At 61.6% G+C, this 27,670-nt stretch overlaps 2 protein-coding genes and 2 non-coding genes across 11 annotated transcripts, besides 10 other annotated features; 1 reads left to right on the top strand and 3 right to left on the bottom strand.

The window, feature by feature from the left end:
* The first annotated feature begins 438 nt into the window (after positions 1–438).
* PLPPR3 (phospholipid phosphatase related 3) lies at positions 439–11,748 on the top strand. 3 transcript variants are annotated; one of them, NM_001270366.2, is made up of 8 exons: positions 2,281–2,321; positions 2,651–2,751; positions 8,385–8,570; positions 8,909–9,050; positions 9,155–9,350; positions 9,487–9,544; positions 9,629–9,802; positions 10,341–11,748. In NM_001270366.2, the coding sequence occupies exons 2-8, from the start codon at positions 2,677–2,679 to the stop codon at positions 11,664–11,666; spliced, it is 2,157 nt and encodes a 718-aa protein (NP_001257295.1). In that variant the 5' UTR covers positions 2,281–2,321; positions 2,651–2,676; the 3' UTR covers positions 11,667–11,748. The 3 variants fall into 3 exon arrangements, with proteins under 3 accessions (XP_011526619.1, NP_001257295.1, NP_079164.1); XM_011528317.4 differs by lacking the exon at positions 2,281–2,321 and adding an exon at positions 439–621 and having other exon boundaries at positions 9,487–9,802; NM_024888.3 differs by having other exon boundaries at positions 9,487–9,802.
* MIR3187 (microRNA 3187) lies at positions 10,583–10,652 on the bottom strand. The gene has a single exon (NR_036154.1). It is a non-coding gene; the product is annotated as a microRNA 3187 (primary transcript).
* Positions 11,749–11,923: 175 nt separating the features above from the next.
* PTBP1 (polypyrimidine tract binding protein 1) lies at positions 11,924–26,784 on the bottom strand. 6 transcript variants are annotated; one of them, NM_002819.5, is made up of 15 exons: positions 26,731–26,784; positions 24,793–24,823; positions 20,600–20,675; positions 20,028–20,200; positions 19,798–19,944; positions 19,534–19,704; positions 19,297–19,407; positions 19,049–19,223; positions 18,667–18,744; positions 17,680–17,828; positions 16,334–16,367; positions 15,784–15,876; positions 15,474–15,690; positions 13,616–13,693; positions 11,924–13,542 (listed from the first exon to the last, which is right to left on the bottom strand). In NM_002819.5, the coding sequence occupies exons 1-15, from the start codon at positions 26,736–26,738 to the stop codon at positions 13,410–13,412; spliced, it is 1,674 nt and encodes a 557-aa protein (NP_002810.1). In that variant the 5' UTR covers positions 26,739–26,784; the 3' UTR covers positions 11,924–13,409. The 6 variants fall into 6 exon arrangements, with proteins under 6 accessions (NP_002810.1, NP_114367.1, NP_001398069.1 ...); NM_031990.4 differs by having other exon boundaries at positions 18,667–18,723; NM_001411140.1 differs by lacking the exon at positions 26,731–26,784 and adding an exon at positions 25,691–26,252.
* Positions 19,235–19,296, bottom strand: MIR4745 (microRNA 4745). The gene has a single exon (NR_039900.2). It is a non-coding gene; the product is annotated as a microRNA 4745 (primary transcript).
* Positions 20,479–21,001: an enhancer, noted in NCBI's record as "H3K27ac-H3K4me1 hESC enhancer chr19:803235-803757 (GRCh37/hg19 assembly coordinates)". NCBI's record gives its function as "activates a minimal SCP1, AML or CMV promoter by ChIP-STARR-seq in naive H9 embryonic stem cells {active_cell/tissue: H9 hESC(naive)}" and the evidence as "EXISTENCE:reporter gene assay evidence [ECO:0000049][PMID:30033119]".
* Positions 25,062–25,945: an enhancer, noted in NCBI's record as "NANOG-H3K27ac-H3K4me1 hESC enhancer chr19:798291-799174 (GRCh37/hg19 assembly coordinates)". NCBI's record gives its function as "activates a minimal SCP1, AML or CMV promoter by ChIP-STARR-seq in naive H9 embryonic stem cells {active_cell/tissue: H9 hESC(naive)}" and the evidence as "EXISTENCE:reporter gene assay evidence [ECO:0000049][PMID:30033119]".
* Positions 25,946–26,831: an enhancer, noted in NCBI's record as "NANOG-H3K27ac-H3K4me1 hESC enhancer chr19:797405-798290 (GRCh37/hg19 assembly coordinates)". NCBI's record gives its function as "activates a minimal SCP1, AML or CMV promoter by ChIP-STARR-seq in naive H9 embryonic stem cells {active_cell/tissue: H9 hESC(naive)}" and the evidence as "EXISTENCE:reporter gene assay evidence [ECO:0000049][PMID:30033119]".
* Positions 25,946–27,665: a biological region, named in NCBI's record as "hESC enhancers GRCh37_chr19:796571-797206 and GRCh37_chr19:797405-798290".
* Positions 26,088–26,397: a silencer, noted in NCBI's record as "silent region_9624". NCBI's record gives its function as "represses an Ori minimal core promoter by ATAC-STARR-seq in GM12878 lymphoblastoid cells {active_cell/tissue: GM12878}" and the evidence as "EXISTENCE:reporter gene assay evidence [ECO:0000049][PMID:35858748]".
* Positions 26,468–26,647: a silencer, noted in NCBI's record as "silent region_9623". NCBI's record gives its function as "represses an Ori minimal core promoter by ATAC-STARR-seq in GM12878 lymphoblastoid cells {active_cell/tissue: GM12878}" and the evidence as "EXISTENCE:reporter gene assay evidence [ECO:0000049][PMID:35858748]".
* Positions 26,658–27,007: a silencer, noted in NCBI's record as "silent region_9622". NCBI's record gives its function as "represses an Ori minimal core promoter by ATAC-STARR-seq in GM12878 lymphoblastoid cells {active_cell/tissue: GM12878}" and the evidence as "EXISTENCE:reporter gene assay evidence [ECO:0000049][PMID:35858748]".
* Positions 26,771–27,125: a silencer, noted in NCBI's record as "fragment chr19:797111-797465 (GRCh37/hg19 assembly coordinates)". NCBI's record gives its function as "represses an EF-1alpha promoter that drives an FKBP-Casp9 reporter gene in an ReSE screen in K562 erythroleukemia cells {active_cell/tissue: K562}" and the evidence as "EXISTENCE:reporter gene assay evidence [ECO:0000049][PMID:32094911]".
* Positions 27,030–27,665: an enhancer, noted in NCBI's record as "H3K27ac-H3K4me1 hESC enhancer chr19:796571-797206 (GRCh37/hg19 assembly coordinates)". NCBI's record gives its function as "activates a minimal SCP1, AML or CMV promoter by ChIP-STARR-seq in naive H9 embryonic stem cells {active_cell/tissue: H9 hESC(naive)}" and the evidence as "EXISTENCE:reporter gene assay evidence [ECO:0000049][PMID:30033119]".
* Positions 27,038–27,377: an enhancer, noted in NCBI's record as "active region_13572". NCBI's record gives its function as "activates an Ori minimal core promoter by ATAC-STARR-seq in GM12878 lymphoblastoid cells {active_cell/tissue: GM12878}" and the evidence as "EXISTENCE:reporter gene assay evidence [ECO:0000049][PMID:35858748]".

Raw genomic sequence — 27,670 nt, 5'->3', positions numbered from 1 at the left:
CATCTCAAAATAATAGTAATAATAATAATAATCATTTTTAAATAAAAGTTTTGAGCAGCGTCTGGTACGCTCAACCCCTCCGGCCTGCTCGGAACTCTCCCATCACTCAAGCCCAGGCCCCACACTCAAGCCCAGGCCCCTCAGCCAAGCAACGTGCCCTCCATGGCCAGGCCTGCCCCATCTCCACCACTGGTGATCCTAGGGGGAGAAGACCCTGAGACTCCCCCAGATCTTCTGTTGGACCCCCAAGCTGCCAGGAGGGTCCCCCTGCACACTCTCCCACTCCTGACCTCAGAAGGCTCCTGAAAATCAATTGCATTTTCCTCCTCCTCCCCCAGAGAGCTGTTTGTGGTCACCTTGCAACACCCAGATTCCCAACGGCCACTCTGGCCCCGCCTCTCACAGGCCAGGAAAACAGCCGCAGCCACAGCAGGCAACGTCCCCCTTCTCCAGGGCTGTTGGGGAGGAACAGGATCGCATCGAATGGGACCCACCTGTGACCAACTGCTCACAGGGCCTCCCCGAGCCCCCCTGCAGGAACCGGGGGGCCAAAGACCCCTCCCCAGGCAGTCCGTGCAGTCCTGTCCCAGGAAGCTGGGCTGCCTCCGAGTCCATCCAAAGGTAGCAACACCATTGAGTTCCCATCCTATTCCCATCGCCATTTAACTGTTTCCGCATTTATGGCAGGCGACCCTCTTCCCGGGGGCAGCAGTGCCTGTTATGAGCAAACTAAGGTATCTAGCAGGGCTCCAACCCTCTGGAGTCACTGTTTGTTTGTTTTTTTTTTTTTTTTTGAGATAGAGTCTCCTTCTGTCGCCCAGGCTGGAGGGCAATGGTGCCATCTCGGCTCACTGCAACCTCCGCCTCCCAGGTTCAAGCAATTCTCCTGCCTCAGCCTCCCATCTGGCTGGGATTACAGGCGCCTGCCACCATGTCCGGCTAATTTTTATATTTTTAGTAGAGATGGGGTTTCACCATGTTGGCCAGGCTGGTCTGGAACTCCTGGCCTCAAGGGATCCTCCCGCCTCTGCCTCCCAAAGTGCTGGGATTATAGGCCTGAGCCACTGCACCCAGCCTGGAAGTCACTCTTTGTTTGTTTGTTTGTTTGTTTGTTTTGAGACAGAGTCTCGCTCTTGTTGCCCAGGCTGGAGTGCAGTGGCACGATCTCGGCTCACTGCAACCTCCGCTTCCCAGGTTCAAGCGATTCTCCTGCCTCAGCCTCCCGAGTAGCTGGGATTACAGGCATGAGCCACCACACCCTAAAAATTTTTGTATTTTTAGTAGAGACGGGGTTTCACCATGTTGTCCAGGCTGGTCTCGAACTCCTGCCCTCGTGATCCGCCCGCCTCGACCTCCCAAAGTGCTGGGATTACAGGCCTGAGCCACCGCGCACGGCCCAAAAACCGATTTTTGTAAATCCTGCCGTTTGGGGCCCGGAGACCTCGGATTGCGACCCAGGGTGCCCAAGCCTCAGTTTCCCCATCCCTACAACGGGGGTCAACCAGCCCCTACCCCGCAGGGCTGCGCATATGGAGGAGGAAATGCACGCAGACAGCAGGCACTGCCCGAGTGCGGGTCCCGAGGGCCCTGCCCGCATCCCGCAGCCCCCAGCCCCCAGCCCCGCGCCCCGCAATCCCGCCGTGCGCACCGAGCGGCTGCGGCCAGGCGGAGGGTGGACCCCGGCGCGGCGGAGGGGGCGAGGGTGAGTGCGGGGGGAAGGGAGGGAGGCACCGGGAGACCCCCCAGTCCCCCTCCCCCAGCTCTTTTGTCTCCGATGCTCCGGGCGCCCTGGGAGCCTCGCCATGGAAACGCGCACCAGCGAGCGGCGGGCTCCGCGGAGGGGCGGGCGGAGGCGCGGGGCGGGGGCAGTCGGAGCCGGCGAGAGACCGTGAGAGACACGGAGACAGTCAGAGACCCCGAAACCCCAACCCCCGCCCCCGCCTCCGCCCCCGTCTCGATGGCGCCCCCCGGGCCGACCGCAGCCACCCGGGAGGGGAGGACGGGACCGTCACCGCCGCAGGCCCGAAGGGAGGAGGACGCGACCCCCGAGCCCCGCCAGCCGCTCGCGCAGACCTGAGACCCCCGAGACCCCCGGCGGTGGGAGGCGGCGCCAGGGAGGCGGGGACGGTGCGCGGGGCCTGCGGAGGACGCGCCCAGACAAAGAGCCCCCGCCCCTGGCTGCGGCGTCTGGGCTGCGGCGTCTGGGCGCGCGCGGGGGTCTCCGGGCCGGACCCTCCCCTCCCCCGTCCCCCTCCCCTTCCCGGCTCCCGGCCCCGCCCCACGGAGGAGACGCGCTTTGTGCTGGGCGCCGGCCGCGCCAGGTGAGGGGCTGTGGGGCTGGGGGCGCGGACCCAGTCTCCTCCGCCGCCCGGAACCCCAGTTCTCCCGGATGCCCCCCACCACCACGCGGGGACTGGCTCCCGCCCGGAGACCCCCCGCCCTCCTCGGCGATCCCGGCCCCGACCCCCCGATCCCGGGTGTAGGGGCGCCCGGAAGCCGCGTGCTGGGCCGGGGCGCGGGGAGGCCACGCGGACGCCGCTCTCTGCAGCCTCAGTTTCCCCGACCGCCCCTCCCCCGCCGGCGCCGGCCACCGTGTCTCCCCCGGGCTCCGCCTGCGCGCCCCCCTCCAGCGCCGCTTTCTCCCCTCCAGCCACGGCCTGCGGCGCCCGCGGCACCATGATCTCCACCAAGGAGAAGAACAAGATCCCGAAGGACAGCATGACGCTTCTGCCCTGCTTCTACTTCGTGGAGGTGGGTGGGGGTCGCGCTGGGGCCCGGGGGAGACGCCTCGGTTCCGCCCGCCCGCAGAGACCCCCGCGCTGGGGGACCGGAGCCGGCGCAGCTGCCCCGGCAGTGGCCTCGGGGCGGGGCAGGACCGGGGTGTCCGGCGGATGGGGGGTGGGGCAGAGGACTTGGGCTGTGCGGGTCGAGTAGGAGCTCCAGAGGAACCGAGGGGGGTCCAGGCCGTGGGAACTGTGGGCAGGTGCTAGGAGGGGAGCCCTTCTGACCAAGGTGTGGTCAGAGGGGCTGGGGGTCGGGGGCTGGGGGCCTGGAGGGGGCGGGGAGGCCGGAGGGGGTGGGGTTGGGTGCAGGTGCCGCGTGGGCTCCGAAGCCTCAGGGTCTGAGTTCACCTCTGCTAATGGTGAGGCTGGTGCCCTGCCCCTAACCTCTCTGGGCCTCCGCTTTTCCACTCCTGGAGCTGATAGGAATTAATATCTACAGAATACGGAAACGTGTTAGGCACATAGTGAGGAGTTTATGACCATAAATGGAACCCCTTGCCCTGTGCGGTGGCTCACGCCTGTAATCCCAGCACTTTGGGAGGCCAAGGCGGGTGGATCACCTAGGTCAGGAGTTCAAGACCAGCCTAGCCAACATGGTGAAACCCCTCTCCATTAAAAATACAAAAATTAGGCTGGGCACTGTGGCTCACGCCTGTAATCCCAGCACTTTGGGAGGCCGAGGTGGGCAGATCACCTGAGGGCAGGAGTTCAAGACCAGCCTGGCCAACATGGTGAAACCCCATCTCTACTAAAAAATACAAAAAAATTAGCCGGGTATGTTGGCTTATGCCTGTGAGCCCAGCTACTCGGGAGGCTGGGGCAGGAGAATCGCTTGAACCCAGGAGGTGGAGGTTGCAGTGAGCAGAGATCATGCCACTGCACTCCAGCCTGGGCAACAGAGCAAGGCCCTGTCTTAGAAAAAAAAAAAGAAGACAATAAATGTAATAAATGGAGCCCCCTGCCCTGTGCGGTGGCTCACGTTTGTCATGTTTGTAATCCCAGCACTTTGGGAGACTGAGGTGGGAGGATCACTTGAGGCCAGGAGTTTGAGACCAACCTGGGCAACACAGCAAGATCCCATCTCTACAGAAAAAATTAAAATATTAGTTGGGCGTGTGCTGCGTGCCTTTATTCTCAGCTACTTAGGAGGCCGAGGTGGGAGGATTGCTTGAGCCCAGGAGGTTGAGGCTGTAGTGAGTTGTGATCACACCACTGCACTCCAGCCTGGATGACAGAGACTCTGTCTCTAAAACAAAAAAGCTACCATTTTGGCACACACCTGGCTCAGGATGGTAGAGTAACTTAAGGCTGGGGTGGTGGCTCACGCCTGTGATCTCAACACATTGGGAGGCCCAGGTAGATGGATTGCTTGAGCCCAAGAGTTCAAGACTAGCCTGGGCAACATGGCAAAAACCCATCTCTACAAAATTTTAAAAACAGAAAAAATAGCTGGGCGTGGTGGTGTGCAGCTGAGGTCTCAGTTACATAGGAGCCTGAGATGGAGGATGACTTGAGCCCAGGTGGCGGAGGTTGCAGTGAGCCAAGATCACACCACTGCACTTCAGCCTGGATGACAGAGCCAGACCCCATCTCAAAAAATAAAATAACTTTAATCCATCCTTGCATGTCAGGCCAGGAAAACCGGCTCTAGTGATGGGCCTTCCAGAGCCTCGATGGAAGACGGGACCCTAGTCTCAAGGAAGCAGTGACCCGTGCAGGTCACACGGCCAGCGGCTGGCCTGTAATCCGTTACCTCACACCCGGGCAAGTGGGTCCCTCCCAAACACAATATCATTAAGTTGCCCACATCACTTCATAGAAAATCTGTTTATTTTTCGAAATTGCACTTAAATTCCTGTTGCAGGACGGGCATGGTGGCTCACACCTATAATCCCAGCACTTTGGGAGGCCGAGGTGGGCGGATCACCTAAGGTCAGGAGTTCGAGACCAGCCTGGTCAATATGGTGAAACCCCATCTCTACTAAAAATACAAAAATTAGCTGGGCATGGTGGTCGTAGTGGTGGGCGCCTGTAATCCCATCTACTCGGGAGGCTGAGGCAGGAGAATCGCTTGAACCCAGGAGGTGGAGGTTGCAGTTAGCCGAGATCGCGCCACTGCACTCCAGCCTGGGCAACAGAGTGAGACTCCATCTCGGAAAAAAAAAAAAAAAAAGTAGGCTGGGTGCAGTGGCTCACGCCTGTCATCCCAGCACTTTGGGAGGCCGGGACGGGCAGATCACCTGAGGTCAGGAGTTTGAGACCAGTCTGGCCAATGTGGTGAAACCACACCTCTACTAAAAATACAAAAATTAGCCCAGCGTGGTGGTGTGTGCCTGTAGTCTCAGCTACTCCGGAGGCTGAGGTGGGAGAATCGCTTGAGGACGGGAGGTGGAGGTTGCAGTGAGCTGAGACTGTTCCACTGCACGCCAGCTTGGGCAAGAGAGCAAGACTCCATCTCAAAAAATAATAATAATAAATAAAATAATAATAATAAGGCCGAGCGCAGTGGCTCACACCTGTAATTCCAGTGCTTTGGGAGGCTGAGGCAGGAAGATCACTTGAGGCCTGGAGTTCAAGGCTAGCCTGAGCCCCAGCTAATTTTTAAAAATCATTTTTAGTAGGCTGTGCGTGGTGGCTCACGCCTGTCATCCCAGCACTTTGGAAGGCCTAGGTGGGCGGATCATGAGGTCAGGAGATCGAGACCATCCTGGCTAACACGGTGAAACCCCGTCTCTACTAAAAATACAAAAAATTAGCCGGGCGCGGTGGCGGGCGCCTGTAGTCCCAGCTACTCGGGAGGCTGAGGCAGGAGAATGGCGTGAACCCGGGATGTGGAGCTTGCAGTGAGCCGAGATCGCGCCACTGCACTCCAGCCTGGGCGACAGAGCGAGACTCCAAAAAAAAGTATGTATTTAGTAGAGACAGGGTCTTACTGTGTTGCTCAGGCTAGCGTTGAACTCCAGGCCTCAAGTGATCTTCCTGCCTCAGCCTCCCAAAGCACTGGAATTACAGGTGTGAGCCACTGCGGTCGGCCTTATTATTATTATTTTATTTATTATTATTATTTTTTGAGATGGAGTCCTGCTGTCTTGCCCAAGCTGGAGTGCAGTGGAACAATGTCAGCTCACTGCAACCTCCACCTCCCGTCCTCAAACGATTCTCCCACCTTAGCCTCCGGAGTAGCTGAGACTACAGGCACGCACCACCACGCTGGGTTAATTTTTGTATTTTTAGTAGAGATGGGGTTTCACCATGTTGGCCAGGCTGGTCTCAAACTCCTGACCTCAGGTGATCTGCCCGTCCCGGCCTCCCAAAGTGCTGGGATGACAGGCGTGAGCCACCGCACCCGGCCCATGGTTAGATATTTTTAAGGCCGCGCCCAGGCCCCACCTCAGACCCTCCCCGGGCTTGATGCTGTCTGCCCGCCCCAGCAAAATCATGCTGATAATGAAAGTGGAGAGAACAAGTAGATAGTTGCCAGGGGCCACCTCCCACATTGACTCATCTCCACCTGAGCCCTTGGAGGCGGCTACTTTATCATTCCCATTTTGCAGCTGGTGAGACTGAGGCACAGGGGGTCTGCTGGCCGCCCACAGGTTAAAGTGGGTGGTTTTCAAACCGGGTGTCAGGTGCAAACAAACGCTGCTACCCACTTTCCGCGTCTGCCCCGGGCCTCGTGCCTGCATGCAACAGGCACTCAATGAATGCTCACTGGACATGAACTCAGCTCCCTCGATCCAATTCTGCCCTGGGATGTTCAGTGATGGCTTTTCCCTTCCTGGAGCCCCCAGCCCTGACCTGTGCCCTCCCCAGGACTGGACTGAGGGCTGAACCCCTGCTAAGATGCCATAACAAGGCAGAAATTACGACTGGGGCCATGCCTGAGCAAGGTCACTCATGCCTGTAATCCCAGCACTTCAGGAGGCCGAGGCAGGTGGATTACTTGAGGTCAGAAGTTCGAGGGCAGCCTGGGGAACATGGTGAAACCCCGCCTCTACTAAAAATACAAAAAATTAGCCAGGTGTGGTAGTGCACGCTTGTAATTCCAGCTACTTGGAGGGCTGAGGTGGGAGGATCTCTTGAACCTGGAGGCGGAGTTTGCAGTGAGCCGAGATTGCACCACTGCACTCCAGGCTGCGTGACAGAGTGGGGGAAAAAAAAAGGCTTGAGGCCATGGCTGGGTGCGGTGCCTCACGCCTCTAATCCCAGCACTTTGGGAGGCCAAGGCGGGTGTATCACTTGAGCCTAGGAGTTCGAGACCAGCCTGGGCAACATGACGATACCCTGTCTCTACTAAAAATACAAAAACCCAGGAGGCAGAGGTTGCAGTGAGTTGAGATGGCACCACTGCACTGCAGCCTGGGCAACAGAGCAAGACTGTTGTGGATGGACAGATGGGTAGATGGATGAGTAGGTGGATAGATGGGTAGGTTGGTAGATGGGTGGGTGGGAGGGTGGATAGATGGATGGATGGATGGGTGATCAATGGATGGATGGGTGGATGGATAGGTGGATGGGTGGGTGGGTGGATGGGTGGATGGATGGACAGTTGGGTGGGTGGATAGATGGATGGCTGCATGGGTGGATGATGGATGGATGAATGGATAGATGAATGAATGGCTAGGTGATGGATGGATGGATGGATGGGTACTGTTGGGTGCATGGGTGGAGAATGGGTGGATGGATGATGGGTGGGTGGATGGATGGATGAATGAATGGCTGGGTAATGAATGGACGGATGGATGGACGGTTGGGTGGGTGGATAGATGGATGGTACCATTGGGTGCATGAGTGGATGATGGATGGATGGATAGATGAATGAATGGCTGGATGATGAATGGGTGGATGATGGATGGATGGATAGATGAATGAATGGCTGGGTGATGAATGGATGGATGGATGGATGGGTACCACTGGGGGCATGGGTGGAGGATGGGTGGATGGATGGATGGGTGAATGAATGGCTGGGTAATGAATGGATGGATGGACGGTTGGATGGATGGGTAGGTGGGTAGATGGGTGGGTGGGTGCATGGGTGGAGAATGGGTGGATGGATGATGGGTGGGTGGATGGATGGATGAATGGCTGGGTAATGAATGGACGGATGGATGGGTGGGTGGGTGGATGGATGGACAGTTGGGTGGGTGGATAGATGGATGGCTGCATGGGTGGATGATGGATGGATGGATGGACAGATGAATGAATGGCTAGGTGATGGATGGATGGATGGATGGGTACCGTTGGGTGCATGGGTGGAGAATGGGTGGATAGATGATGGGTGGGTGGGTGGATGGATGAATGGATGGATGGTTCCCAGTGGATGGATGGGTGGGTGATGGGTCGGTGAGTGGGTGGATGTTGGGGGCATAGGTGTTTGGGTGGATGGAGGATGAGTGAGTGGGTGTGTGATGTGTAGATGGTCGAGTTACAGATGGAGCATCTGTGGATGGATGAATAACTCATGGGGGAAAGAGTGGCTGGGAGCGGGTTGGATCTGTGGATAGGTGAGTGAGACGGTGGATGGCCCTGAATTCATGGAGGGCTGGACAGACGCCTCCGCGAGGGAGAGCAGGGTGAACCTGGCCCACCTTGTCCCCACAGCTGCCCATAGTGGCTTCTTCCATCGTATCCTTGTACTTCCTGGAGCTGACCGACCTCTTCAAGCCGGCCAAGGTGGGCTTCCAGTGCTATGACCGCACTCTCTCCATGCCCTACGTGGAGACCAACGAGGAGCTCATCCCGCTGCTGATGCTGCTCAGCTTGGCCTTCGCGGCCCCTGCCGCCTCGGTGAGCACCTGCACCGGGGCCTGTGCCAGCCTGTGGGCACCACGGCTGGGAGCCCACCCCCGCCACCTCGGTGAACATCCACACTGGGGCCTGTCGGTGAACATCCACACCGGGGCCTGTGCCAGCCTGTGGGCACCGCAGCCACTGCCACCTCGGTGAACATCCACACCGGGGCCTGTGCCAGCCTGTGGGCACCACGGCTGGGAGCCCACCCCCGCCACCTCGGTGAACATCCACACCGGGGCCTGTGCCAGCCTGTGGGCACTGCAGATGGGAGCCCGCCTGAGCGCCCCCTCCCTGTGGGCACCGAGGCCTGAGCGCCCCCTCCCTGTTGGCAGATCATGGTGGCCGAGGGCATGTTGTACTGTCTGCAGTCCCGGCTGTGGGGCCGTGCCGGGGGGCCCGCCGGGGCGGAGGGCAGCATCAACGCCGGCGGCTGCAACTTCAACTCCTTCCTGCGGCGTACGGTGCGGTTTGTGGGTGAGTTGCGGGACGCGCCCCGACCCTGAGCTACCTCCACATGCAGGGGGTGGGGCTGTCCCGGGTCCCCAGCTCCCCGCCTGGCCGAGCCTTCCGCCCTGCAGGTGTCCACGTGTTCGGCCTGTGTGCCACAGCCCTGGTGACGGACGTGATCCAGCTGGCCACGGGTTACCACACTCCCTTCTTCCTCACCGTCTGCAAGCCCAACTACACTCTCCTGGGCACGTCCTGCGAGGTCAACCCCTACATCACGCAGGACATCTGCTCCGGCCACGACATCCACGCCATCCTGTCTGCACGGTGAGCCGGACCCCCAACTCCCCTGACTGGGAGCCTTCTTCCGCCCCGGTGAACATGCGGGGAAACAGAGACACAGAGAGGCCACTGGAGCTGGGGTCCCCAGGTGGGCGGGGCTCACGCTGGACGCCTCTTACAGGAAGACCTTCCCGTCCCAGCACGCCACGCTGTCAGCCTTCGCCGCGGTCTATGTGTCGGTGAGTCCGGCCCCTCACTGCCCTTCCCAGGCCCTCTTGCTGACCCGTGGGGAGCCCTCCCTGACCCCAACCCCCATGCCCCAGATGTACTTCAACTCGGTCATCTCGGACACCACCAAGCTGCTGAAGCCCATCCTGGTCTTCGCCTTTGCCATCGCCGCGGGCGTATGCGGGCTCACGCAGATCACGCAGTACCGCAGCCACCCTGTGGACGTGTATGCCGGCTTCCTCATCGGGGCGGGCATCGCTGCCTACCTGGTGAGTGGCAGGTTCTGATGGGGGTCGGCATGGGTTCCCAGGGGATCTGAGGGGGGAGGCATGAGTGCCCACAGGGCCTGAGTGGGGAGGCTGGCCCAGGGGTCTGAGGTGGGAGGCAGGCTCAGGGGGTCTGACAGGGGAGGCTGGTAGCCTGAGGGGTGAGGCATGGTTCCCAGGGGTTCTGGCGGGGGGCTGGCCCAGAGGGTCTGAGGGGGGAGGCATGGGTGCCCAGGGGCTCTAGGGGGGAGGCACGGGTGCCCAGGGTGTCTGAGGGGATAGACGTGGGTCCCGAAGGGGTCTTAGGGGGAAGGCATGGGTGCTGAAGTGTCTCGCCCTTGGAATGCTGGAGTCAGAATCCCGTGGGCTCAGACCTGCCCGATGTGCTGGGTCAGCAACCTTGGGGTGGGAACCGGTCCCACTGGACAAGAGCTTGCCAGCCCCCACCCCCGGTCCAGAGCCCCCCGCGGCAAGTCCAACGATCACAGGGGAGGAGCCCTCTGAGCCCCAGGCCTCACCCCCAGACCCCTCTCCCCGACAGGCCTGCCACGCGGTGGGCAACTTCCAGGCCCCACCTGCAGAGAAGCCCGCGGCCCCGGCCCCCGCCAAGGACGCGCTGCGGGCCCTGACGCAGCGGGGCCACGACTCGGTTTATCAGCAGAATAAGTCGGTGAGCACCGACGAGCTGGGGCCCCCAGGGCGGCTGGAGGGCGCGCCCCGGCCCGTGGCCCGCGAGAAGACCTCGCTGGGCAGCCTGAAGCGCGCCAGCGTGGACGTGGACCTGCTGGCCCCGCGCAGCCCCATGGCCAAGGAGAACATGGTGACCTTCAGCCACACGCTGCCCAGGGCCAGCGCGCCCTCGCTGGACGACCCCGCGCGCCGCCACATGACCATCCACGTGCCGCTGGACGCCTCGCGCTCCAAGCAGCTCATCAGCGAGTGGAAGCAGAAGAGCCTGGAGGGCCGCGGCCTGGGGCTGCCCGACGACGCCAGCCCCGGGCACCTGCGCGCGCCCGCCGAACCCATGGCGGAGGAGGAGGAAGAGGAGGAGGACGAAGAGGAAGAGGAGGAGGAGGAAGAGGAGGAGGACGAGGGCCCGGCCCCGCCCTCGCTCTACCCCACCGTGCAGGCGCGGCCGGGGCTGGGGCCTCGGGTCATCCTCCCACCGCGCGCGGGGCCGCCGCCGCTGGTGCACATCCCGGAGGAGGGCGCGCAGACGGGGGCCGGCCTGTCCCCCAAAAGCGGCGCCGGGGTGCGCGCCAAGTGGCTCATGATGGCCGAGAAGAGCGGGGCGGCAGTGGCCAACCCTCCGCGGCTGCTGCAGGTCATCGCCATGTCCAAGGCTCCGGGCGCGCCGGGCCCCAAGGCGGCCGAGACGGCGTCGTCGTCCAGCGCCAGCTCCGACTCCTCGCAGTACCGGTCGCCGTCGGACCGCGACTCCGCCAGCATCGTGACCATCGACGCGCACGCGCCGCACCACCCCGTGGTGCACCTGTCGGCCGGCGGCGCGCCCTGGGAGTGGAAGGCGGCGGGCGGCGGGGCCAAGGCGGAGGCCGACGGCGGCTACGAGCTGGGGGACCTGGCGCGCGGCTTCCGCGGCGGGGCCAAGCCCCCGGGCGTGTCCCCCGGCTCGTCGGTCAGCGACGTGGACCAGGAGGAGCCGCGGTTCGGGGCCGTGGCCACCGTCAACCTGGCCACGGGCGAGGGGCTGCCCCCGCTGGGCGCGGCCGATGGGGCGCTGGGCCCGGGCAGCCGGGAGTCCACGCTGCGGCGCCACGCGGGCGGCCTGGGGCTGGCGGAGCGCGAGGCGGAGGCGGAGGCCGAGGGCTACTTCCGCAAGATGCAGGCGCGCCGCTTCCCCGACTAGCGCGGCGGGGCCGGGGGCGGGCGGGGGGCGGGCCGAGGGCGCGGGCGGCCGCGCGGATGCTCAATAAAGCGGCAGAAACCGAGGTCCGGCTCTTGGTCATTCGCTCTGGCCCGCACGCCCCACGCAGGGACCCCCACTCTCAGGGCCGGGCCCACCCCGCCCGTGGCCCCACCTGGCGCTTCGGCGGACACCCGGGCGGGAGTCGGGGCCGCCCGCGGCACAGAAAGAGGAAGCCAGCAACGAAGGCGGAACGGAGCGAGGATACAGAAGATTTATTCGAAGTCCAGGTACAGACTGGCCAACCTGCCTCTACAGCGTCCACAGCGAACACAGGGCTAGACAAGGGAGGAGTTTCTCAAACGGTTTTAATCGGTTCTCTCCGCGTCACAAGCCATCGGGTAAGGCAACGGAATGTGCGTGGGGTCCCCTGTGGCTCCGCGGTCACAATACTGAGCCTGGAATTGCTGTTAGCAAAATATACATTTGTGTCACCATAAAAAACCGCGCCGCCGCCCCTCGGGTCTCACAACAGGTATAAAAAATTATAAATATTTACACCCTTGTTACACGCTTTTACGGAAAGGGGATCCTAGGAGAGCCCCCGGGACAGGACGCGGGGGCGGTAGAAAGAGCACAGAGAAGACAGGAGGAGCGCCCGCCTTCCGGGTCCCAGCATCAGAGGCAGGCAAAACACAGAAATGAGACTTTGGTCCAAAATTTGAAGGAAGAAAAAACCCTGAAGTTTGAGAGCAAGTTTTCTAGGCGACTGCAGGTGAAGGCGTGGTGTAAGGCAACCGGAGGCGATGCCAGAGGCGGCGACACGCCCGCCCCTTCCCTGAAGCTCAGGGGCTCTAAGATAGGACCGGGGCTCCCTGTGCCTGACCCACTGGGCGGCCCCGCCTGCTCTCTGGAAACTGGGTCCTGCCTGTGACTTAATTACAAGGAATAAAATAAAAGTAACAGCATACAAGGTAATACCACAAGGAAGTTTAGATTACACTCATACCATTGTATCATCTTGCTATAAAAAGTTACTTAAAACTATTTCTTTTGCATATAAATGAAAAAAGATTAGAATATTTGGTCAACTGGAAATATTGCTAGGCACAGACGTCTGCAACTGCAAAGTATATAATACAGAGATTATGTCGACCAGCTCCGCAGCTGGAGCAGCGGGGAGCCCGCCTGGGGGCAGAAGGGAAGGCCCTGGGGGCGGGGTGAAGGGAGAATCACGTGACTTGATTAGAGGGCTGGGGTTGGGGTGTCGCAGCCGCGGCCGCCGCGCCCCAGCTGCATGATCCTGCAGGAGCCGGCCAGGCCCCCTGCCTCTCTCTGGTGTGACCCCCCCACCCCTTGGGTCCCCAGGACACCCCGGGTGGGTGTGTGGCTGCAGGAAGGCAGGTTTTTTAAGGCACAAGGAAGCCAAGTCGTGGTCGGGGCGCCCACCTGCAGGCCCCACGCCCGACACAGGCCCCACCAAGGCATGGCCCCGAGGGTCTGGCCCCGGGTGTGGAGGGCCGGGAACTCCCGCTGCCACAGTCACCAAGAGCCTGAGCTGTCCCTGTCACCGCAGGGTGAGCAAGGTGAACTAGATTTAATTTTTTTAAAAACAGGTAAACTGATTTCTCTTTAAAAAAATAAAATCTCTGGTCTGCTAAGGTCACTTCAGCTGTTTTTAAAGTGGCTTTTCTCTGGAATGATGGAAGTTGTCGCCAGGGGGCCCGGCCGTGGGGGCCTGTGCCCCTAGATGGTGGACTTGGAGAAGGAGACCCGCAGGTGGTGGTTCTCCCCGAGGTCGTGGTTGTGCAGGTCAATGAGGGCCTGGACCGCCTCCTCCACGGAGCCCATCTGGATCAGTGCCATCTTGCGGTCCTTCCTGCAAGACAGGGGGTCAGGGCCGGCCGCAGGGCAGCCTGGGGAGAGCCAGGGACAGCCCGCCTCATACTCACTGGAAGAACTTGAATCCTTTGACGACGCCCCCATTGCTGGAAAACAGGACCTTGAGATCCTCCTCGGAGACTGAGGGCCTGTGGGAGGAGAAAGGCGTGAGCCTGGGGCCGCGTGGGGGTGGGGGCGCCCAGTCAGGTCCGCGAGGCTTTCCCCAGACTAGTTTTCAGAGTAGCCGGGGAAGGCGTAGGGCCTTTTAGGAGCCCAGAAATGGGGTATCAAATCATGTCCACAATGGTCTGAAGCAGCTTCTAACGAAACCAGGCATCTACAAGTTTGCAGAAACAGAGTACCACGCTCCTCCACTTTTTTTTTTCCAGATGGAATCTTGCTCTGTCGCCCAGGCGGGAGCACAGTGGCGTGATCTCAGCTCACCACAACCTCCGCCTGCAGGTTCAAGTGATTCTCCTGCCTCAGTCTCCCAAGTAGCTGGGATTACAGGCACGCAACACCATGCCAGGCTAATTTTTTTATTTTTAGTAGAGACGGGGTTTCACCAGGTTGGCCAGGTTGGTCTTGAACTCCTGACCTCAGGTGATCTGCCTGCCTCGGCCTCCTAAAGTGCTGGGATGATAGGCGTGAGCCACTCTGCCAGGCCCCTTGTTGATTTTCTGATAACATTTCACAAGTAACGTGTTAAATATCAAAGGGCTTACTACTGGTTGACATGCTTGGGGCCAGATGTACCTGCATTTCCAAATACTTGCATTATGTAATTTTTACAGACAGGGTCTTACTCTGCCGCCCAGCCTGGAGTCTGGCAGTGCAATCACAGCTCACTGCAACCTCAACCTCCTGAGCGCGAAGTGAACCTCCCACCTCAACCTCCCAATCCGGAAGAGCTGGGACCTGACGTGCACACCACCACTCCTAGCTAATTTTAACCAATTGTTCCTGTAGAGACAGAGGTCTCACTTTATTGCTCAGGCTGGTCTTAACTCTTGGGTTCAAGCAATCCCCTGCCCGGCCCCCCACAGTACTGGGATTATAAAGGTGTGCATTAGGCCAGGCGTGGTGGCTCCCACCTGTTATCCCAGCACTTTGGGAGGCCGAGGCGGGTTGATCACAAAGTCAGGAGATCGACACCATCCTGGCTAACACAGTGAAACCCCGTTTCCACTAAAAATACAAAAAATTAGCCGGGCGTGCTGGCGGGCACCTATAGTCCCTCCCAGCTACTCGGGAGGCTGAGGCAGCAGAGTGGCATGAACCCAGGAGGCAGAACTTGCAGAGATCCCGCCACTGCACTCCAGCCTGGGCGACAGAGCGTGACTCCATCTCAAAATAAGTAAAATAAATAAATAAATAAATAAATGTGGCTAGGCGCGGTGGCTCACGCCTGTATCCCAGCACTTTGGGAGGCCGAAGCAGGCGGATCACAAGGTCAGGAGATCAAGATCAGCCTGGCCAATATGGTGAAACCCCGTCTCTACTAAAAATACAAAAATTAGCCAGGTGTGGTTGTGGGTGCCTACAGTCCCAGCTACTCGGGAAGCTGAGGTGGCACAATCACTTGAACCCAAGAGGCGGAGGTTGCAGTGAACCGAGATCGTTCCACTGTACTCCAGCCTGGGTGACAAAGCAAGACTTCGCCTCAAAAAATATAAATAAATAAATGTGTGCATTATACATTCTCACAGGGAGCATCCCCTGAGCCAAAACCTCCAAAGTGTCCAACGACCCCCTCCCTTGAGCAGCCCTCGGCTCAAGCTCCAGGCCTTGCAGTACTTCAGGTTTGGGGTAAGAGGTGCCCGACCTGCACTCTGGAAACGCCAGAAGTCCACACACCGACGCGGTAGGACAGCCAAGCAGAGCCCTTGCCCGCCCCCGGCCCCATGAGCCCCCCGGCCCAGCACTCACGGGATGTTGGAGAGGTGCAGCGTGGCCGAGGGCGGGAATATGTTCTGGAAGTTCTTGGAGCCCGGCTTCTTGAAGCGGTGCAGGGGTGAGTTGCCGTAGTCCTTGGTCAGGCCCTGGTCCTCCTGGCCCTCGCGGGGCAGCTGCACGTTCTGGTGCTTCGAGAGCGTGATGCGGATGGGCTTCCCGTGCAGCTTGTGCCCGTTCAGGTGGCTCATGGCTGGGGGAGCAGCACCCGCGTGACCAGGCGCCCGAGAGGGAACGCAGCCCCCGCCCCTGCCCCCTCCACCCCGGGGCCGCCCCGGCCTCTTACCCAGCTGGGCCTGGTTGCCGTCCGCCATCTGCACTAGGGCGTTCTCCTTCTTATTGAACAGGATCTTCACGCGCTGCACGTCACCGTAGACGCCTTCAAAAGCCCAGGGATGGGGCCTGAGTCTCCTGCTGCCTGCCCCGCCCATCTCCCCGTCAGCCCCGGCCCCGCGCACCCCCACAAGGCCCGGCTCAGCCCGGCCGGGTTTGCTTTATCGGCCACTGCGGAGCTGCGTCTCGCAGCCACAGGGCGCGCTAACAGGAGCAGCTCCGTTCAGCAAAGTCATAGCATCCAGGACAGGTAAGCTGCCAGCGGGTGGCCACGGTGGCATATGCCACCGACAGGTCTAACTCTGAAAAGCATGCAGGGCGATAAACCATGCGTACGTATCTACGGGACCAAATAAAATTCGCAAACCGAAAGCAAACCATAAAACGAGGCGGATGCCACGGAGCATCAGAGTGCCAAACCGCAAACTCATAATACGTCTCAGGGCATCAAAATCATCTCAATTAATGAAAACAAGGTAATAAAAGTGTGAACGATAACATACCGAAAAGAATAAAGAGGCTTTGGGGTGTGACTCTCTTTAGAGACAGCAGAGCAAGGCAGCGGAGGGACAGGGGAGAGGGAGAGGTCAAGGGGGGCGAGTTGCCAATCGTCCACACGAGGAAGACAGTCCCCGCAGGCGTGCAGTGGTTGATGGATGATGAAGTTGTCAGGATGTTAATATTCAAGGGCAGGTTGGTTTCCGGAGAGCAGGGTTTGAGGGGGAATTTTTGTTTTTTATTTGTTTATGTTTTTGTTTTGTTTCAAGCAACAACAGGAAGCAGAAGTACCGTGCAGTCAGTTGGCAAAGAAATTCCGGATCAGGGCAAGAAAAAAAATAGGGAAAGGGGAAGGGGAGAAAAGAAAAAAAGTAGCAAAAAAACACAGGTCAGTAAATACATAAGAATCAGGTAGTGTTCTATCAGTCACACTCCACACACATTCCAGTTACAGGTTTACCTCGACGGGCACACGGTAAGAGAAGCACCTTCACTCACATGCCGGCAGAGACAGCGCTGCTGGAGGGGCTCCCAGAAGCCGATCCCAACCACGCCCCCCAGGAGCGCGCGTGCAGCTCCGCTCGCGGCCACCTCAGCCAAGCCCTGCAGCAGCGCTGTCTCCCGCAGCTGTGGCACAAGTCAGTCTCTAAGGACGATTACAGGCGTGAAGGGAGATCGAGTCTGTTAGTGCACGGCCTCGCTCAGGAGGAGCTGGAGGGACAGCACCCGGCTCGTGGTAAGAGGCACAGGCAGGGAGTGCGTCCTGGGCCCCCGCGAGGGAGGGCCAGGCTGGGCACCGCCTTGAGGAAGTCACAGGAGTTGCCGGGAAACAGAACAGCCTGAAATGCTGATTCCAGGAGGATCCCATCCATCAAGAGTTACATATTTTGGGCCTCTTGTTTCACCCAAGCTCTCCCCGAGGGGAATTTAACCATTCTGGGAAATAACGGATCCACCAGTTAAGTGACAGGCTCTCGAGCCACAGGGGCTGCCCACACCCCGCCGCGCTAACCCTGTGTGTCCCGCTGACCAGCAGGGCGGCCTGCTGGGGCTCTGAACTGCGCGCCCTGCTCAGCTCCAAGTAATTTTTAGATTGCCTTTGGGTAACCAAAAAATAATTCATTCTGCGTATCATGCAAGAGAAAACGCGAACCAAGATGTGAATTCAGGAAAAGAGGAAAACTCAAGCCATCTTGGAAAAGGAGGGTCTCAGCGCTGCAGCAGAGGGGCTGCCAGGGCAGAGGCGCAGACACAGCGAGGGGCGGCGCTGCTCCGGGACCCGAGCCCGAGCACAACATCCCCTGCTCGCTCTTCCGGGAGGAACGGCGGCGCGGAGGAAAAGCCCACGTACCTCTGGGTTGAGGTTGCTGACCAGCAATACAGAATTTCCTGCCCCCGCCAGGCCCGGGATGGCGATCCGACCTGCCGCCGCAGCTGCCGCCGCCGCCGAGGGGATGGCCAGGGGGGCCAGGGCGCCGTGGACGTTCGGAACGGAAAGGCCTGGAAAAGCAGGAGGTGAGATGAGCGGCGGCGCCCCCGACTCCACCGCAGAGTGGGAGAGGCCGACGCTCCCCGTCCTCATGCACCGAGGAGCCGAGCCGCGCGGGAGGCGGCCCTGGCTCTGGCCCTACCCTGGGTGCCTGTGGGGTCGTCCGACCCCCGCACAGCCACCCGCCGGCTCCTGCACCAGCGCCCGCCTCTCCTCACAGCACGGGCCGGGCCGGGCCTGGGCTCATCTGCATGCGCCCCGCCCACAGCACAGAAAAGCTCCGGCTCCGCCAGCACAGACACGGGGCCCTCGGCAAGCAGGGCCCGTCCCGGGACCACCGCGCATGCGCGCCCATGCCTCCATGCAGACGAGGCGGCCGCCGGGCGGCACGCGCTGCTCCGTCCACGGCCAGCACTGGGGCGGCCGGGCCCCGGTCCCAGAAGGGAAGCGGGAGGACGGCCACGCACACACGTCCCGCCGCCGGTCATGCTGCTCAGCCTCGGGCCGCGCGCTTACCAGGCCACTCAAATTCAACTACTAGAGACATCCCTCCAACCACTGGCGGTCCTCGCGCTCGCCCGGAGGTGCTTGAAGGGAACCAGACCACAAAGACTGTGCGATTAGCGGCTTCTGGCTGGCGCCGTCCACACGTGGGCCTCCACAGCCCTGTCCTACCACTGCCCTGGCCAAGCCTGCTCTGTGGACGTGGCGTCCCCTCTCCCGGGAAGGGCCCCTGACCTGGCACTCGAGTGCCCAGTCCGCCCAGGCTGCCGCCGTGGATGCGGAGCTGCCTGGGAAGGTGGTGTGGGCATGCAGTCGCTGGGGAACCAAGACCAAGCGTTTGAATACCTGCAGCTTGAGGAATGGCAAAGGTGGGAGGGAAACCAGCTCCTGCATACGGAGAGGCTGAGATTATACCAGGTGCACCTAGAAATAAATGAGACACTAATCATCGCACCCACAACCTCCACCGCGAGCGGGCGCTGTGCTGCGGGATGGGCCCCAACCCGGCCGGCGGGCGGCCCCGGCAGAGCCTTCGCGGGCAGATCCGCTGCTCCAGGGGGGGCCGTGGTCCCGACGTGGGGGACACTGGACCGTGCTGTGCTGGCCGTGCAGAGAGCAGCAGGTGCATCACCCTGGTGCAGGGCCGGGCCCGTGCCGCCGGGGCTCCGGACTGAGCGGCCCTAATAGACCACTCTGCACACTGGCGCCGCGTCGGGCAGCCTCTTACCGAAGGCCGCGGCCATGGTCTGGTCCAGCGAGGGCTGGCTGTCCCCGGAAGGCAGGTCTGGGCGTGTGTAGTCACGGCTCTTGTCATTGTTGTACTTGACGTTGAGGCTGGTGAGCTTGGAAAAGTCGATGCGCAGCGTGCAGCAGGCGTTGTAGATGTTCTGCCCGTCCAGCGACTGAGGGGAGAGGGACCGTGAGACGTCGCCGGGCCAGGGCCAGGGCGGGCGCCGTCCCGGGAGCCCCACTCACCAGCTTGGCGTGCTGGGCGCTCACGGGGTCCGCATACTGCAGCAGGGCCTGGAACTGGTTGTTCTTGGTGAAGGTGATGATCTTCAACACTGTGCCGAACTTGGAGAAAATCTGCAGGTCCCGGGCCACAGCATGAGCTCCTGCCCGGTGCCCACCAGCCCTGCCAGGCCCCTCCCGTGTGCCTGTGCCCACAGCAATAGCAGCCGACCTGCCCTGGCGGTGATGGGACCACCTCACCTGGTGCAGCACATCCAGGGTCACAGGGTAGAAGAGGTTCTCCACGATGATCCTGAGCACGGGGCTCTGCCCGGCCATCGCCATCCCTGCGTCCACGGCCGCCGCCGAGGCAGCCAAGGCCAGGTTCCCCGACTGGACCGAGTTCACCGCCTGCAGGGCCGCCTGGGCCCGCTGTGGGAGGCACAGCCGTGAGTCCCCGGCCCCTGCGGCTGGGCCCACCCCCGAGGTCCCCGGGCTGCTGGGGTCCGCCGCGGGGCCACGCACCGCCTGGTTGGGAGAGCTGTCGGTCTTCAGCTCCTTGTGGTTGGAGAACTGGATGTAGATGGGCTGGCCGCGCAGCACAGGGGTCACCGAGGTGTAGTAGTTCACCATGGTGTTGGCAGCCTCCTCCGTGTTCATCTCGATGAAGGCCTGTTGGGGAGGCAGTGAGCGCTGGGCCCTCCTCGTCCCCGCCTGCACGGTGTGAGCACCCCGGAGAAACGCGGCTCAGGTACCTGGTTTTTCCCCTTCAGCATCAGGAGGTTGGTGACCTTCCCAAAGGGCAGCCCCAGGGAGATGACTTCCCCCTCCGTGACGTCGATGGGGAGCTTCCGGATGTGGATCACTCTAGAGGGGACGCCTGCACTTCGGCTGTCACCTTTGAACTTCTTGCTGTCATTTCCGTTTGCTGAAAAGGGGGTGCCATGAGATGCAGGCACCAACTCGCAGGAGCCCACAGAGGAAGGTCCCTGCTATCCCCCTAGAGCCCTGCCTGCTACGGAGACCAACCCTGAGCCCCAGGAGGGTGCATGTGAACCAGCAGCGCGAGAGGCCAAGACCTGCACAGTCAGGACCCCTGCTCCCGACAGCTCCTGACAACCCGCCCACAGGTCCAAGTGCCAGCCTGGACCATCCATCCAGCGCCTCCCTGGAAATTCTCTGCAGCGAGAACTTGGACCTGGGTCTGTAGCGTGGACCATGGGCCCCTGCAGTTGGAGATGGAAAGTAGAGTCCCAGAACAAGAACGTAACGTTGTTCCAGGGAAAGACACCCACGGGTCTTGCCCTGGGCCGAGTCCCGGCCTTACCTGCAGAAGCCGAGTTGCTGCTCATGATAAACGGTCCGTTAGTGACACAAGTAGAGAAAAGCTCGTCAGATCCCCGCTGCAAGAGAAGGGACAACGCGGAGCTGCACTTCCCACCAGGCCAGAGCCTCCCTTCCCCACCGGCCGGCCCTGCTCCCACTTGGGCTGCCTGGGGTCCCAGACCCCCAACCCATACCCACACCCACACTTCCACGGCAGGGCAGCCTGAGCGCAGACCCAGCCCATGGACGCGCACGGCACCCCACAGCTCCACGACCAAAACACTGCTCCTTTTTCCAAATTCTGGAAGCCCTGGGTACTCAGCCAGTGTGGGGCTGGGAGGCTCTCAGCTACGGAGGGCACCACGTACACTATCTCCACGGCCAACTCTGCTGTGGACGTGGCCTCACTGTGCTGCCAGCGGCCCTGGGCACAGGCCTGGGGCCTCAGCCACCAGCCAGCAGGGCAGAGGACCCCCTCCATGGAGCCAGCCCCCCCAGCAGCACACGGCAGGGCCCAGGCAGCCGTCCTCACTTCTGGTGGCCTCGCAAGAGAACCAAATTATAGCGCTGCCTCCCTCACTCTCGCAGGAGCCCCTCCTCTCCTGTTTTCCAGCCCGGAAAAGAAACCCGACCTCCGTCTCTGCACACGCGAGACTGAGGACTAGAGACACGGCCTCCCGCCCAGTGATCCGCTGGTATCGCGGCCGTGACTAGGGCCGGGGGAGCTCCACAGCGGCTCCATCACTTCTGACCTGTCCATTTTCTCTCCAGAAACAATCTATTCACTGGTTATTTCTATGTAATTGGATCAACTTCTAAGAATTGCACTAGACTGATCCTAGGCTCAGGACGGCAGACATCCCCCCCGCTGCAAGGATTGAAGACACACGTTTATTCAAAGAGTGAAATTGGAGGAGACGTTGGTTACGGCCCTTAGTTACACAGAAAACAAAGCTCGGGTCTGAGGACCTTGGAGCACAGGCGCTTGGTCTGCAAAGCGAGCCTCTGCAGGCGCTGAGGGCAGCAACGCCCAGGCCCCCCAGGACAGGGCCATCCCAGGGAACAAAGGAGCCTCCATCTCCCGTATCAGGATTGAGGCCAAGAGCCTGCCCCCACCTGCTGAAGGGCCCAGGGCCATCGCATCAGAAAGAACCAGTGGATATCACACCCTGTCCCCCCTCAGACAACCCCCAGCTCCACACACCCCCATGCCTGGTCAAGGAGCTGCCCCCACACCTGGCCAAAGAGCCCCCACCAACGCTGGCCTCCCCGAGCCTGCGCTTGGTCTTCTCTTAAGGCCGCCTCCCCTCCACCCACGTTCAGCTCCACTCCTGCCCTGGCCCTGGCTCAAGAGCTTCCTGGAAGGAAGACTGCCCGAGCCTCCAAAGCCCCACAGCTGCCTCCTCCCGACGCGGACGGCAAGAGCCTCGGGAGACTCCGGCACCTGCTCAAGGAGGATGGGGAACAGGGACTGGCCCTTGCCAATGAGACCTCTAACTGCAGCCCTGAGTCTCCCACCAATCCCACAAGCACTCAGGGCGTCACCAAACAAGCAATCGAGCAGCCACAAGGGCCGGAACCAGGAATCACTCAGGGTCCACAGGCCCGGCGCCCACCCAAATGGCACCTGTTCAGTCCCCAAGACTTTAGGGTCAGAGAATGAACAGTGTCCAGTGTCACGGCGGCCCTGAGGTTCCGGCCGGACACAGATGAAGCCAAATACTGAAAACAGACCCTCGAGTCCTCTCGCTTTCAGAGTCTGGGGCCCCCTATGAGCACAAGGCGGGGCTGCGCAGGCCCAGGGGAAAGGGGTCAGAGCCAGCCGCCTCAGGTGGAAACCACGCGATCAGAAAACACAGCAGTGCCAGGACCGGAGGAAGGGAGGACGGGAGGAAGGGAGGATGGGTGCACCTGAGACGCAGGGCCTCCAACCTTCGCCTCCCACAGGAAGTCGCTTCCTGTCTGCTCTCCCCTCCAGCTCAGAGGCTGGGGGAGCCCAGGAGCCGACCCCGTCCAGGACACCAGGGCTGGTCCTCCCCCAAGCTGGAGAGTGGCCAAGCGCCCATGCGGCTCCCATGTGCTGGCTGCACAAACCTTAAAAAGGGCATCTTGGACCCTGTCTTTGACTGGAGTGGTGGGCGGGGCCGCTTCCTCTGAGCGGTCCTCTTGGCCGCCTGCCTGAAGCCCTAATCTCATTCCCATGGGCAAGTGGCCTGGCATTGCCCACAACTGTCTGCGGCAGCAAACTCCATGCCTGCCCAGGCGGCACAGGCCGGCTTGGCTCAGCTCAACGGCGCCCCAGCAGAACGGAAGGGACACCTGGAGGCTCCGAGGCTCCACAGGGCAGCAACCAGGAGACACGAGCTGGGCCTAGCGCCTCCACTGCCTTCACAGCAGCTGCCAGGTACCCCAGGAGGGTCCCTTCAGGGCACCTGTCCTGAAGCACACAGATTGACAGGAAACGCCCCAGGACTTCCAGTCTGCAGCTGGGGCCCTACAGCACAGTTCCTAGGTGTCTTTAACCCCACACTGAACAAGAGCTTGCTCTGTCCTGGGCTAAAGGACAGCGTAGCCAGGTGTGGGCCCAGGTCAGCTGAGGGCTCCCTGGTGGTGGGGGGGAGGGGGGGTATCATCTGGGTCAGGGTACTACCCCGTCCTCCTACCAGGGCCTGCACCCAGCAGGAGCCCTAACCCTGCCCTGTGGCAAAATCCCTCCCGCAGGCTTCAAGTCCTGGCTGGGCTTCAACGTCCCAGCCCAGGAGCCCCCTAGGAACTGCAGAGGAGGGCTCAAGGACCACCCGATGGAAGCTGAGGGCCACTCCAGCTGGAAAGCAGGCCCACAGAAGCAGGGAAGAGACGACTGCCTGCAAGCCAGACACATCTAGGGATTGTTGCAAATGCTTCAGATGAAAGTACCTCTCCCTCCTCCCACACTGAACAAACAGGTTTTATCTCCAGGAAGATCGGGGCAGGCAGCGCGTAAAGACAGCAGTCCACTTGGGAAAAACCGAAACCTGGCCCAGGCACCACTGCTGACTGACCAGAAACCAACTGGCTGCTGGCTCAGGACGCCACCACTGTGGGCTCGCCCTGCGGGAGGCTCTCGGGGCACAAGCCCTGAAGTCGGGAGCCCCCTCAACCCACAATGACCAGCAGAATCATTAACCAACTACCCCAGCTAAGCGAGGACTACAGCTCCCTCGAGAATCGCCTCCCCAGGACCTTCTTCTTCTCCAGGTTCTGACCCCCTTTCCTCACATGCTGAGCCCTGGCCTCACCCTCCATGGGGCTGCAAGATTCGCACACCCCAGAGACGTGGCACATTCATTTTTCTCTTGCCCCAAACACCACCTTTGACAGTTTGCTGCTGTTCTAACCAGATGCCATCAAAGATACTTAATGTCAGCCGGGTCTGGCGGCTCACAACTGTAATCCCAGCACTGTGGGAGGCCAAGGGGGGTGCATCACCTGTGTTCCAGACCAGCCTGGCCAACAATGTTCGAAACCCCATCTTTACCAAAAAAAAAAAAAAAAAATACAAAAATTAGCTGGGCATGGTGGTGGGCACCTGTAATCCCGGCTACTCAGGAGGTTGAGGCAGGAGAATCGCTTGAACCTGAGAGGTGGAGGTTGCAGTGAGCCAAGATCACACCACTGCACTCCAGCCTGGTGACAAAGCAAGACTCCATCTCAAAAATAAAAAACAAAAACAAAAACAAAAAAACTTAACGTCAAAATCAACCAGTAAATGCCCATCCTAGCCACTCAAATAGGCTGGATTCTATCCAGGTCCCCTCCACAGCCAGGTGGCTCTTTTCCTATCAAAACCAAGAGTCTCCCAGGCAGCCACAACATGAGGTTTCCCACTGAACGGCACGATTCCAGCCTCTAGAGGCAGAAGTTCCAAAGGCAGGCCTGGGGCACACAGAGCCCTCGCTGCTGACAGCAAGAACCGAAGAGCAGCTCAGATTCCAGACCTGAGGGGCGGCCAGCAAACCCAAGCCCCCAAAACTCACGGGCACTGGAGCCCGGGGTTCAAACCCTACCGCCCAACTCCAGATTCCAGACCAAGGGTAGTGCCCCTTAGGAATGGAAAAGCGCCCTCTAGCCAACGCAACAGCGCTGGGGGGTGGCCCCCGGGGTCGGCACAAGGTCAGAGGAGCGTCACGGAGAAGCAAAGTGAGAAGTGCCTACCTTTGTACCAACGGCTATATCTGGGACAATGCTGTAGAGAGAAAGAAAGGAGACAACGTTAGCCTGGTGGCCACTCAGCAGCAGGAGCACCCAGCTGTCCCCGGGCCAGGAGAGCCCGTAGGTCCCTGCAGCTGCCACCTCCGCAGGGCTCCCTCTGGCTGCACGAGGCCCCGCTAGAGAAAGCTCAGAAGGGCAGGGAAGTGAGCCGTCCACTTGACTGCAACTTGAAAAGGGGCCACCATTGTCCTTTGGCGCCCCTCCCTCCCAGCAGGACCCCAGGCCCCACCTCTGGACCAGGCCCCACACGTTCCAAGACAAAGACACCCCCATCGGAAGCCCCGAGGAATGCTAGATGCCGCTGAGAGGGTTCAAGGGCTGCTGTGTGCTTTCCAGTAAGTTGGAAACGCCTCGGAGAGGCTGAAACTGGCAAACTCACAGGCCTGGGCCAGAGCTTCCACCCGGGTAGGGGTGGGCCCCCAAGAGGGTGCCTCTCAGCAGAGTGGAGCCCGATCCACCGAGGAGAGCAGGAGGCGGCCGTGGAAACCGTCAATAAAAATTAACAGACCGACCAGAACACAGCCTCAGTTACTGATCAACCCGAGCCCCGCCCGACCCGACTCTCCCTCCTCGGGACACCCCGGGGGGAAGGTGGATAGAAAGCCGGACTGTCCGAGGCCCTCCCTTCAGCCCCGGCCAGGTCCTGACCCAACAGTGAGCTCCCCACGGCTTCTCCCGGCCACTGCAACTCCCGGCGAGGCCCTAAGTGACTCGGAGCGTCCGTCGGAAGGGCAGCCTCCGGGCCTCCTGCCTCACTCCGGGAGGCGAGTGCGCGGCCCCCGAGCCCGCGGTGCTGGGTCCGAGAGCGGGGAGCCCTCGTCTCGCCGTCTGCAGGACCCACCTGCCCGCACGCATGCTAAGGGGTCCAGACCCACTCTAGGGCTGCGCCTCTTCTGACACCACAGACTGCACGGACCACGTTTAACAGACTTTTAAAAGTGACTGAACCCAAGAAAAACTTCTCAGGAAAACGGAAAGAATGCGAAACATCTCCAGCCTCTCCCGCTTCCTATTCCCAGGGAGGGCCTCGCGCAGGAAGCGCTCGGCGGGACACGGCCTTTCTGGAGGGGGCTCCCACCTCTCCCAAGGGAAGCCCGCCCAGCAAAGCCGCCCGGAAAGGCTGCCCCGGCCCGAGAGCCGGGAAGGCCCCTCCCCATGACGGCGCCCGCGGGGGTCCCTGGAGAGGCCCCTCCGGCCCCGGGGCGGAGGACAGACCCTCGGGGCGGCCGCTTCTCTCCCGAGATCACCGAAACCCCTTGGCCGCGGCCCGGGGCGCACGGGGGGCAGGGGTAGGGCGGGGAGCGCAGAGACTCGGGCCCGCGGCGAGGCCCCGGCGCCAGCTTTCCCTCCCGGCGGCCGCCCCAGCCCCGCCTGCGCTTCCGGGGCTGCGCCGGGGGCAGAGTCCGGGCGGCGGGAAAGGCGCGCGCCCCCGATGGCGGCCGCGCACGCGCGCTGGGGCCAACGGGGACGCGCGACGGGCTACGCAGGCGCACGAGGGGAGCGGACGGGAGGCGGGAAGGGCCATCCGGGCGCGCGAGGGCCGGACGGGAAGCGGGAAGGGCCGCGCGCCGCCGAGGCGGGGCAAAGGCGAAGTGCGGGGACGCGCGCGGAGGGGGAGGGGCGCGGGAGGCCGCGTGCGCTAGGGACGGGGCGCGCGGGGGCCGGAAGCGGGCCGGACGGGGGATGGGGACGCGGCCAGACCCCCGGGAAGCCCCTGACCCGCCCCGCACCCGCGCCCGCCACGCGGAGAGGAAGGGGAGAGCCCGCCGCCCCCTCCCGCCCGAGAGGGGGCGAGATCGGCCCCGGGGAGGCCGGCGCGGCGGCGGGGGCAGGGCTGCGGCGCGGGGAGGGCGGTGGGGCGCGGGGCGACGTGCGACTCACCCGTCCATGGCACACAGAGCAGACCCGCGGGGGACGGAGTGGAGGCGCCGGAATAGCAGGAACCGACCCAACGGCTCCGAGTTATAGACTCACAAAATGGCGGAGACGCCCGCACACGTCCCCCGCGCGCGCTGCCCATTGGCTCCCGCTGCAGCCAGGGGGCGGGGAGAGCCCCGCGGGCCCCCGCCAGCACCTCCCACTGGCCAGAAGGCCGCCCGGGGGCGGGACCCAGAGAAATCGCAGGCGCCTATTGGGGGAGGCGGTTATTCCTCAAGGCCGAAGGCGGAAACGGCTTGTGTAGTCGGGGGAGGGGGAGAAAATGGGATCACGTGACGGCGTCTGAGCCAGTCAGCTGGCGCGTGGCTTTGCGGGAGACGCCATCTTGAGAGTGGGTACGTGGCGAGTCAGGCGGCGGGAAGCGTGCTTTGCCCAGGCTGCCGCCATCTTGCAAGTGGGCAGGACCCGCCCGCCTGGGCCGTGAGGGCAAAGGGAGTCGCATCGCCATCTTGGAGTCGGGCAGGAAACCCTCAGGGCTCCATGTTGGTTGTGGGCACATGGCCAAAAAGTCCGATTCAAACTGAGCGCTCACATCTGGGTGATCGCGCGGGGAGGGAAAGGCCGCGTCGCGTCCCGGACACGCCAGGGCTGTTTCCACAGTGGCCACAGATACTGCGGGCGCGCCATGATCCGGGGTCACCCCCGACCGTTCTTTGTTCGCCCCGGAACAGCGAATCCCGACTGCGGAGATAGGGAAACTGAGGTCCGGGCCCCGCACAGTCCGCGGCCGGCTGCCTACAGCTGGGAAAACTGAGGCCTGGACCTTGTACAGTCCGCGGCCGCCCGCCTACAGCTGGGGAAACTGAGGCCTGGACCTTATACAGTAGGCGGCCGCCCGCCTACAGCTGGGGAAACTGAGGCCTGGACCTTGTACAGTCCGCGG

The sequence above is a fragment of the Homo sapiens genome, chromosome 19 (genome assembly GCF_000001405.40).
Source record: "Homo sapiens chromosome 19, GRCh38.p14 Primary Assembly".
In the NCBI taxonomy this organism is placed as follows: domain Eukaryota; kingdom Metazoa; phylum Chordata; class Mammalia; order Primates; family Hominidae; genus Homo; species Homo sapiens.
Note: the sequence above shows the minus strand (reverse complement) of the source record. Positions and strands in the feature narration are given on the sequence as shown.